The 11,846-nt window shown below is 42.7% G+C and overlaps 1 long non-coding RNA gene across 1 annotated transcript; it reads right to left on the reverse strand.

Moving 5' to 3' along the window:
• Positions 1 to 1,031: 1,031 nt before the first annotated feature.
• Positions 1,032 to 8,766, reverse strand: LOC124902028 (uncharacterized). The gene is made up of 2 exons (XR_007061116.1): positions 8,500 to 8,766; positions 1,032 to 1,372 (listed from the first exon to the last, which is right to left on the reverse strand). It is a non-coding gene; the product is annotated as an uncharacterized LOC124902028 (long non-coding RNA).
• Positions 8,767 to 11,846: the final 3,080 nt, after the last annotated feature.

Here is an 11,846-nt window from a genome sequence, read left to right on the forward strand (position 1 = left end):
CCCCTGCAGCTAGATGAAACCATGAGACTAACACTGGGCCAAGGAGATGTAGGTAAAAGGGTTACAGGGAAAGCTGTTTCAAGGAGCCGACCCAGTGGGGAGGAGCACCACTTTGTCTTTTACAGATGCTTTGGCAGCCTGCTCAAAATGGGGACTTGATGCTGAACTTCCACAGACTTCTTCTATTATGATCCATCTTGAGGATGGAAATCATCCACTGATGATGGCAGATCAGATAAGCAGTTGGCTCCCAGAAGAAAGTGTGAAGCTTCCATTATAGTCCAGATTTGCCTCCTCCTGACATCTTTTATGTGTGAGAGAAAGGAGCTACCCTGTTTAAAATAGTGTTATATGGGGTTTTCCTGCTGTAGGTGTTATGTACAGTCGATTTACTTTTAATTTATGATCAATTGTCTGTTTGAATAAAGAAATGTGTGTAGGTATAACTGACTAATTGGTGAAAATTAGATAAACCTTCCTGTTAACTAGCTTTAAAAATGAAGCTTCCAAATCCCAGCACTTTGGGAGGCTGAGGCGGGCAGACCACGAGGTCAGGAGATTGAGACCATCCTGGCTAACATGGTGAAATCCCATCTCTACTAAAAATACAAAAAATAAATAAATTAGACGGGTGTGGTGGCAGGTGCCTGCAGTCCCAGCTACTTGGGAGGCTGAGGCAGGAGAATGGCGTGAACCTGGGAAGCAGAGCTTGCAGTAAGCCAAGATCATGCCACTACACTTCAGCCTGGGTGGCAGAGCGAGACTCCATCTCAAACAAAAAAAAAAAAAAATGAAACTTCCTAGTTCGCCTCCTATAACTACAACTCTTTCAGTTTCCTATTTTAAAAATTGAGTCATAAAGAATTAACATATCTTTACAATTAAGCCAAAACAAAATATAAGTGGGTGTTCATAATGTATCCTCTCACTTAAAAGTGCTGGAAAACTTTGTTGGCAAGAAATGGGTGACCAGTGAACCAGGGAAGGTTAATGACAGACCTGACTCATCATGACACAAGGAAAATCTTCAGTTCCTTTAGTACAAAGTCTCTTTATTTCCAAAGCAAGTCTTGCACTTCCTGGTTTGGGCTGAGGTAAAAACTGACTGTATTAGTAAGGGTTCTCTAGAGAGACAGAATAGGATAGATGTATATATAAAGGGGAGTTTATTAAGGAGTATTGACTCACACGATCACAAGGTAAGGTCCCACAATAGGCTGACCTCAAGCTGAGGAGCAACGAAGCCAATCCGAGTCCAAAAACCTCAAAAGTAGGGAAGCCAGCAGTGCAGCCTTCAGTCTGTGGTAGAAGGCCAAGAATCCCAAAGTGGAAGAACTTGGAGTCCGATGTTCATGGGCAGGAAGCATCCAGCCTGGAAGAAAGGTGTAGGCCAGAAGAACAAGCCAGTCTCGTCTTTCCGTGTTAGTCGGCCTGCATTTATTCTGGCCGCACTGGCAGCTGATTAGATGGTGCCCACCCAGATTGAGGGTGGGTCTGCCTTTCCCAGTCCACTGACTCAAATGTAAATCTACTTTGGGAACAACCTCACAGACACCCCAGGAACAATAGTTTGCATCCTTCAATCCAATCAAGTTGACACTCAACATTAAGCATCACACTGACCCTGCTTATTAGCCGGAAGGTAATGAAGGAGGCTGACTTTGAGAACAACTCACATCTTGAGAGGCACCCTTGCAAGAGCTTCAAGTAAGGTCTTCTTTATATTAATACTATGTCCTTATAAGAGGAGACTGTTTCTCTTTTAAGGGAAAAGAGGCTTCTTTGTCAGTCAGAGGGTTTTAGGAGAATTTGAGATTTTAAGATTCTCAAGCTCATCTATCCAAATATCCCTATCCTAGGTCTCATAGTCTTACTCTTTACCTATCATGGCCCAGACTTTAATATAAGAGACCTGTCAAGATTATATATAGTTTCCTTTGAAACTATGTCTTTTTAAACAATCAGATCCTGGGCTTTGTTTTCAGCAAAGTCTGCCCTGTGACAGCAGGAGATGAAATTATCCTTTAAAACTGCCAGGGAGACTTAGTCCATTTATGTTGCTAAAAAGAAATACTTAAGGCTAGGTCATTTATACAGAAAAGAGGCTTATTTGGCTCATGGTTCTGCAGGCTGTACAAGAGGCATAGTGTCAGCATCTGCATAGCTTCTGGTGAAGGCTTCATACTGCTTCTACTCATGGTGGAAGGGGAAGGGGAGCCACCATACAGAGATCACATGATAACAAAGAGGAAAGAGAGAGGATGAGGTGCCAGTCTTCACCAGTTCGTGCAAGAACTAAGAGTCAGTGAGAACACACTCACTCCTGGGAGAATGGCACCAAGTCATTCATGAGGGATACATCCCCATGATTCAAACACCTCCCAACAGGCCCCACCTCCAACATTGGGTGCCAAATTTCAACATGAGATTTGGAGGGTCAAATAGCCAAACTATCAGAGACCAATCTGACTTTCATAGAAACTTTAAGTTGGCAATTTTGATCTTTTTTTTTTTTTTCATTTTTAAAGCCTTAAGTGCCATCAAAAGTGGTCACTCCATACCACACTCTTCATAATTATCATTACTCACAAACTGGTTGTATTAGTCCATTTTTATGCTGCTGATAAAGACATACCTGAGACTGGGTAATTTGTATAGAAAAAGAGGTTTACTGGACTCACAGTACCACGTGGCTAGGGAGGCCTCACAGTCATGGTGGAAGGCAAAAGACACATCTTACATGGCAGCAGGCAAGAGAGAATGAGAACCAAGTAAAAGGGGAAACCCTTCATAAAATCATCAGATTTCATGAGACTTATTCACTACCATGAGAACACTATGGGGCAAACCACCCCCAAGATTCAATTATCTCCCACTGGGTCCCTCTCACAACATGTGGGAATTATGGAAGCTACAATCCAAGATGAGATTTGGGTGGGGACACAGTCAAACCATATCATTCCACCCTCATTCCCTCCAAAATCTCATGTCCTCACATTTCAAAACCAATCATGTCTTTCCAACATTCCCTGAAAGTCTTAACTAATTTCAGCATTAACTCAAAAGTCCATAGTCCAAAGTCTCATCTAAGACAAGGTAAGTCCTTTCCACCTATGAGCCTGTAAAATGAAAAGTGAATTGGTTACTTCCTAGATACAATAGGGGTACAGGCATTGGGTAAATACACTCATTCCAAAGGGGAGAAATTGGCCAAAAATGAAAGGACTACAGGCCCTATGCAAGTTCGAAATCTAGCAGGGCAGTACAATCTTAAAGCTCCGAAATGATCTCCTTTGACTCCATGTCTCACATCCAGGTCATGCTGATGCAAGAGGTGGGTTCCCATGGTCTTGGGCAGCTCCACCCCTGTGGCATTGCAGGGTATAGCCTCCCTCTTGGCTGCTTCCACAGACTGGCATTGAGTGTCTGTGGCTTTTCTAGGTGCAAGGCACAAGCTGTTGGTGGATTTATCATTCTGGGGTCTGGAGGACTGTGGCCCTCTTCTCACAGATCCACATTTTCCCCATTGTCTTGGTGACTAACATTTGGCTCTTCCTTACTTATGCAAATTTCTGCAGCTGGCTTAAATTTCCCTCAGAAAATGGGTTTTTCTTTTCTATTGCATCATAATGCTGCAAATTTTCCTAACTTTTATGCTCTGTTTCCCTTTTGAAACTGAATACTTTCAATAGCACCCAAGTCACCTCTTGAATGCTTTGCTGCTTAGAAATTTCTTCTGCCAGATACTCCAAATCATCTCCCTCAAGTTCAAAGTTCCACAGATCTCTAGGGTAGGGGCAAAATGCCTCCAGTCTCTTTGCTAAAACATAGCAAGAGTCACCTTTACTCCAGTTCTCAACAAGTTCCTCATCTCCATCTGAGACCACCTCAGCCTGGATTTCATTGTCCATGTCATTATCGGCATTTTGATCAAAGCCATTCAACAAGTTTCTGGGAAGTTCCAAACTTTCCCACATCTTCCTGTCTTCTGAACCCTCTGAACTGTTCCAATCTCTACGTGTTACCCAGTTCCAAAGTCACTTCCACATTTTTGGGTATGTGTATAGCAGCACCCCACTCTACTGGTACCAATTTACTGTATTAGTCTGTTCTCACGCTGCTAATAAAGATGGACCAAAGACTGAGTAATTTATAAAGAAAAGAGATTTAATGGACTTACAGTTCCACATGACTAGGGAGGTCTCACAGTTATGGCAGAAGATGAAAGAAGAGCAAAGGGATGTCTTACATGGCAGCAGGCAAGAGTGAATGAGAGCCAAGGGAAAGGGGAACTCCCTTATAAAATCATCAGATCTCGTGAGACTTATTCACTACCATGAGAATAGTATGGGAGAAACCACCTCCATACTCCCACCAGGTCCATCCCACAATACACAGGAGTTATGGAAGTTACAATTCAAGATGAGATTTGGGGAAGGATGCAGCCAAACTATATCACTGGTCAAATGCAGCTACCATTTGATCTCTCAAGTTTTGCATTCCACTGGCACTTCATTCCAATTAAATGTAAGTGAAACTTTAGAAATGGTGATTACGGTGAAAGGTTATTACTGCACTTACCATAAGCAATAGAGTTTGTCTTGCCTCCAGACTCATGGGAAATTTACCTCCAATACTTTATCTGGAAGGTCTGTTTTCTTATATCACTTCTTAAACCAATTATTGTAGCATGGGTTCCCTTAAAAGTAAAGACTGAGGCCAAGCTTAATTAAATGCGTGTAATTTGAGGAGAGCAAGAGAGAGGCAGGAGAGAAAAGAAAGTAAATGCAAGCTGACTTTAGCTTCTCAAGAAAATACAGTTGGTGACTTGGTCATGAGCGATTTCCCTGGGGAGGTTGTATGGAATTACTGCATCAAGCAGGAGAAGAACAAGTGATATATATATATTTGCAGACTTCTTCTCATCTTATCTCTTACTTCTTCTCATCTCATGTTTCTGGTTAAAATTCATCCCATAGGGGCATTAACACATTAACACACTTAAGCATTTAGTTTTTATTGACTTCCACAGGCATCCACCAGGGAAGCCATAATCAGGATGGGTCTGGTTGGCTTGGGCCAGGGTGGTGGAGCAGCTTTAGTTTCCTCTAGGATAGGCCTGGTTAAAACTAAGTTGATAGAAGGCAGTGTTATGACATGAGACTGTGGCCGCAGGAGATTTGCAACCAAGGATGCCATGAGCAAGGAGCCTCCTGGAGAGACCCAGAGGGCCTCAAGTGTTGCATAAACAGGGCCAGTATACCTGTGTGCTAGCTGTTCTCCATTTGCCCCTTCCACATTTATGCATTTTCTTTTTTTACTCTCGTCTGTACCTTTAGAGGCTGGCCCTAAGGACTGCTTTACCCTACGTGCTTTTCCCTGTCTCTTCTGGTTGGATTCAGCCAATGGGAGACACTAGGAAGAGATCAGAAAATAGAGTAAAGAGTGGTCAAGAATTGTTTCTCCCACTCCCTCCCTGACTGGTGCTGTGATTCTAGCAGTGGTTGCATCCTTCCGTGACTAAGTCCCTGTTGGAAATCACTTCCCCCATGATTCCACTAACACTGGTTCCTCTCCATGCCCTTACAGGTGAAGGGTTACCACCAGGCTTACTGTCAATGGTACTGGGTTCTTCGACATCTTTCAATGGTACCCTTCACCCAGAGCTGGCCTCTGTAAATGGACTCTTCCTTAAATTTTCTTCAAAATCCTAGCTGATTACTTTCTAGTTTCAACTGGGACACTAAGCCTACCTCTGTTTATTTCATTCTGTTGTTTTATGAATTCTTGTTTGGCTTTTTCATTTTAAAATAATATTCCTGTTTAGGTATCCTAGCAATTATGACACATTTCCTTCTCCTCTATGTCTAATGCTTTCTTATAGGTTGGGATCTTTGTCTTACTTCTGCATGCTGTGTTCATTTTTCCAGTGTATTTATTTCTTCTGTACTATATTTGCTTAGTCATTGCACCATTTATTTCCATCTGTCTCCTGCCTGAACAGTTCTGTACAGATGTTCTATTTGCTCTGATACTTTGGGGCTGATTTATTGATCCTTCTCTCACTGTATATGACTCCAGTTAACCTTCCCTTTCAGGTACAGTATGAGTGAGGAAAGGATGTTAGGTCATCTTCCATTTTTCAAAACTGGAGAGAATAGCTGAGATGCACATGTATGCACATATGCATATACACACCTCTACACACCCACCCATACACATAAACACACAAACTGTGGAAAGATTCACTGAGTTGCTAGCTCGTTTTTACTAATATATCTGAAGTTTTCTCTCTCTCTGATATTTTGTGGCTTGCTCCGCCTGGTTAGGGCACATATTCTAAGCCTTTAAAGAGGTGCTCTTGGGCTTTGACAGTTTTCTCCAAGTCACTGATGTAGAAGCACTTGCAAAGTCATCAACTCCATGTTTTGACAAGAACTCCTCCAGCTATTCTTACTAGTTGGCTGGGTTGTTAGTTTCCTCTTGCTGCTGTAACAAATTACTACACATTTAGTTGCTTAAAACAACACAAATTTATTATCTCACAGTTCTGGAAGTCAGAAGTCCAAAACTACAGGGCTGCATTTCTTCTGGAGGCTGTAGGGGAGTGCACTAGGCTGAGCAGCATTCCCCAACCTGGGAAAAAATGCATGTCCATCCAGAACCAAAATATATGGCCTTATACGGGAAAAAGTTCTCTGCAGATATAATCAATTAAATTAAGATGAGGTCATATTGAGTCATATTGGGTTGGAGTGGGACCTAAATCCAATGACTGATGTCCTTATAAACGGAGAACAGACACAGAGACACAGACAGAGAAGACAGTTATGAGAAGATGGAGGTAGAAACTGGACTGATGCAGCTGCAAGCCCAGGAATGCCAGGGATTTCCACCAAGCACCAGAAGCTAGGAAGAGGCAAGGAAGAACCCTTCTTCAGACTCTTTGAAGGGAGTACTACCCTAATGACATCCTTGATTTTGGGCTTCCAGGCTCCCATATTGGAAGAGAATAAATTACTGTGTTAAACCACTTTGTTGTTGTTGTTGTTGTTGTTGTTTTTGTTTCTGAGATGGAGTCTCACTCTGTCACCCAGGCTGGAGTGCAGTGGTGTGGTCTTGGTTCACTGCAACCTTTGCCTCCTGGGTTCAGGCAGTTCTCCCACCTCAGCCTCCCGAGTAGCTGGGACTACAGGTGCCCACCATCACATGTGGTTAATTTTTATATTTTTAGTAGGACGGGGTCTCACCATGTTGGCCAGGCTGGTCTCGAACTCTTGACCTGCCTTGACCTCCCAAAGTGCTGGAATTACAGGCATGAGCCACCGCACCCGGTGCACTTTGTGATACTTTATTATGAAAGTCATAAGAAACAAATAAGGTGAAAATCAGTTTCTTTGCCTTTTTCAGCTCTTAGAGGCTATCCCCCTTACTTGGCTTGTTGGCCCCACATCACTCCAATCTCTCTTTCCTTTGTGACATCTTCTCTCTGACTCTGACCCACCTGGCATCCTCTTATAAGGACCTGGTGATTACATTGGGTCCATCTAGGCAATCCAGAATAATATCCTTATCTCAAGATTATTGACCTAATCAAATCTTCAAGGTCTTTCTGTCATATAATCTAATATATTCACAGTCTTCTGGGATCTGGACATGAACATCTTTTGAGCACTGGATTGGATGGAAATTGTTCTTTTTACCAAAGCTGGGCTGGCTCCTTAAAGTGTGAGATATCCCAATGGTCTATAATACACTAGATAACAAGAACTAAAACATAAATTAAATATTTAAATAAATATTAAATAGAGAAGAACAGCTAGAGGGAAGGAACCTGGTCTCTTGATGACATCTTTGAGTTGTACCTACTGCTGGACTTTTCGCATAAGTCACTATGGTAGGATTAGCTATTGCTCACGGCTTAACACCTTAACACAATCCTAACAGAAACAGTAGGACTGTCTGTATTCCTTCCAAATTCCCCCCTTTCAAGCTTCAAGGAGGTGCCCTCTTGCCTACCAAGCAGGGACTAGCTTACTGAGTGAGCAAATCCATATTTTGTTCTATAATCATAACCATGTTCAAGATATTTAAAATGTTGCTCATTCCTCGGCTTCGTTTTTTTCCTTGCTTTAATTATCAGGAGGAAGATTGAGTGCTTATATAGTCAAGGAGAAAGTAGGACTGAAACTGAGCGCTTGCTTTTTTTCACATAGAATATATGATAAATTCATCAGCAGAGAGTCAGTTTGGGGAAATTTTTATTTAATAATTGTCTAATCTTGAATATGCCTACATTATCTCACTAACCTTCCAGGCGGCCAGCATGGGAGGTTTGATAATCTTCGTGTACAGGCAAACGAGTGGATGCCCTGAGGTTCCCAGCTTCTTAAAGGCTACGGAGAAAGTGTGTTACAGACCTGGGATTCAGACCTAGTAGAGAAATCCGGAGCCTGCAGACAGAAAGAAAGGGTCTTCTGGGAAGGGGAAGGGACTCACGTTTTTTGAGTTTCCGTTGTGTGTGGTCACTGTGGTCAGCGTTTCTTATTAGTGGTCTCGTATTTATAGCAGCCCCGGTGGATCAGTATTATTGGCCCAGCTTCAGAAGCAAGAAACGAGCCTGGAGATACCAGGTATACTGCCCAAAGTTGAAAAGATGGTGGTAAACGACAGAACCGGATTTGAGCCAAGCTTGATTTCAAAGTTGTGTTCTCACCCATTAGGCAAAGGTGCCAGGCTTGGGTTCAGGATGAGACCCCTACCTGCCTTGAGGAAAGAGGACAATTTCTTCAGTATCAGAGTTATTTTTCTCTCAGGAGAGCTAGGAACACTTAATTCGATACTAGAAGCAGTACTAGGATACCCTCCATCCCTAGATAGCTGCAGCGGAGACCTACCCATTACTCCAGGGGCAGTGTCAGGAGCCCATGGCCTGTTTGGGCTTCACACTTCATGGTGAAGAAGGGACTGCACACCAAGCCAGAAGTGTGCCCCGTTTCAGACAAGATTAATTCAACCTGCCTCAAGGCTTGGATGTGCAGATGGAGTCTGCATTTGGGAACAAGATCACTATTCCACCAAGGATTTGGAGAGGTGACTCAGCAGCAGACTGCTGGGGAAGGCAAAGTCAAGGCAGTCAACCCTGCCTCTGAGGCTGGAGTGCTGTGTGAACTCAGACAATTTCCTTCCCCTCCCTGGACCTCAGCACCTTTTAATTTACCTATCAATCCCTGAGTTGCTTCAGCTCTGACAATCTAGGACTTGCAGGAATAACACATCTGGTCATGAGGAATAAATCAGTGTAAAGGGAAATTCAGTTATTCAGCAATAGTGAAGAAGAGCCTACAGTGTTTATGGCTGTGGGGAGAGTTCTGCTCCAGCTAGTGTAATATGGGTCTCAACTTTGAGCAGCTCTGGATTTTACAGAGATTATACTCTGATGATTTATGAGTAAAGTCCTCCTTGCAGAGTAGCTCTGGTTGCCTAGAGTGTGAATTACAAAAGACAGGGAATCCAAGTGCTTTTAGAAAGGGTGTGCCCTCCTGATGTGTCACAGGCCTGCTTTCTCCTTTGTCTTGGCTCCCAGTGACAACACGTTTGAGTTTGTATCTCCAAATTAGACTCTTGATTTGTCTTGCAGAACGCTAGTCCTGCCTCCATTTCTTCCTATCCCTCCCTGGCCACTGCAAGCCGAGGGGGAAGCTGTAATTTGTGAGCTGCCCTTTCATTGCAGTGTGAGTAACAAAAATGCCTTAATCCTCCCTCATCCTGCAGGGCTGTGCCCAGCAGCCAGGCCCCCAGAGGACATGAAGGCCAACGTGAACGGGATTCTCTCCCATGCATTATTCACACCAGTGCTTCCCTTTCTATTTTTAATGTTCAGCATGTAGCGGTTCCCTCTGCCAGCTATTTTTAGCATTGTTGCTGCCAGCTGACAGCAGAGACAAAGGCACCGAGGCACCTTGAGAATGACAAATGGCGATTTCAATGATGAAAATAGAAAGGCTAATTTTCTTCCAGGAAAGAAAAGGAAGAAAACGTCTGTAGTTGCAAAGTTGCTTGGGCTTGAATTGAATTTTTAATTTGGAACATATACACTGCCACGCACATAAAGGATTTCCTTTCACACACACACACACACACACACACACACACACACTCACATGCTCATCATTCTCCCAGATCAAATACACTCTTTTTTTGTGAAGCTTTATCTGATGCTTCTCTCTGCTCCTAATAAGCCCTCCTCTCTCTAGATATAGCATCTCCATTATTGTGATCCTCACCTGGTATTGTAAATGTTTGCTTCTCTGCAGGCCGTGAGCTCCTCTCACTCAAGGACTTATTGTTAAATCTCCATTGTCTAGTATTAGGAAAAACAAGCAGCCCCTGCCATCTAGAAGCCAACCGGGCACTCACAGTTAGGCATGTCATTCCCTGTTGGACATAAACAATCTCATTGAATACCAGAATCAGACAAGGTTACTCTGAGACCATGAGAAAGTGAGACAAAACAAGAACACTTCATAATTTTGTCTGAGCACAGACAAAAACAAGGTAGCTCTGCCAACCACAAAATATCATGTCTTCTCTCTTGCCTAAAATGAATGACTGCTACTTCTTAATCAATCCATCAATCAATCACATCTTTATTCTTTCCAGTCCGCCCTTCCTATAGACAAGGTTTATTGAGATGTTCAATAATATAATTACCCCACTTTCTGAGAGCAGCCAACCTAGAGAAAATCTCTGCTTCTTTAGACCCACCCCCAAGTCTCCAACAAATATCCGAATCCCATAATAGGTTGTTTCTAGCACCCTGTTACTGAGTGGTCTGGAAGCTTTCATGGAACTACAAAAAGGGGAAGCTACAAAAACGTCAGAGGAAGAGTGGAAGGAAGGAAATAAAAATGTCCAGGGTAGTATCTTCCCTTTGATCTTCCACTCATAGCTAAGGGAGCTATGTACTAGCCACACCTGCGTAGGTGTAATTTTATATAAATGGGATTATATTAGTGAAAACATGAATAAGAACATTTTGAGATTTCATAAGGAGGTCCTCAATAATAAATTTCTTTTAGACCTGGTGATTTTTATGTTATTGCTTTTTCCATTATGTTCACATAATAGTTCAGAGATTTACTTGAACCTGCCTTACGCCACCTTTTGCCACTAGGTTAACAAATTCTTCATTACAATAATCTCATATCGGCCTGCAATTTCTAGGGCCCAGTCAGCTTTGGGGTTGTCATATTTCTGCTTCTTAATGGTTACCTTGGGCTCCTGGCTTCTGTTCCTTCATTCCCGTGATAGCAATTGTCTGGTACTTCCAAAGATGGATCCACAGCAAAATCCTCTGTTGTACAACCCCTAGTGCTTTTATGCTCTCATTTTTCTCTCACAGAAGCCCCTTCTGTGTCCACTATATTCTGGTCCTAAATGGGGGTGGAAAGCATGAGAGCCACCTTATGAGGGGCTGACATGTGAAAGATGATTATAATTGCCTTCAGTGGGCCCATAAGATGAAAACCTAGAGATTCCAGAGAGACACAGTCCAGCTATATATAGGGAGAAATTTCAATATTAGGAAAAATAACTCAAAGATATAATGGGCTGCTGTATGAACTAGTGAGCTGCCCAACATGGGTAGTATACAAGCAGAAATCAGAACTGGCAGAAATGTTTTAGAACACCAACATGGGGTGTGTGAGTCTGGAGGTGGAGTGTCAACAGAAAGGAAGTGTTGTTAGAGTAATTGCAGAGTCTCTGAATCCATGGACTTCATCCTCCTCCACCTTTCTTACAAATACATATTGTTAAATGTACTATAAATGCTGTTGTGATTC

The sequence above is a fragment of the Homo sapiens genome, chromosome 8 (assembly GCF_000001405.40).
Source record: "Homo sapiens chromosome 8, GRCh38.p14 Primary Assembly".
NCBI lineage: Eukaryota > Metazoa > Chordata > Mammalia > Primates > Hominidae > Homo > Homo sapiens.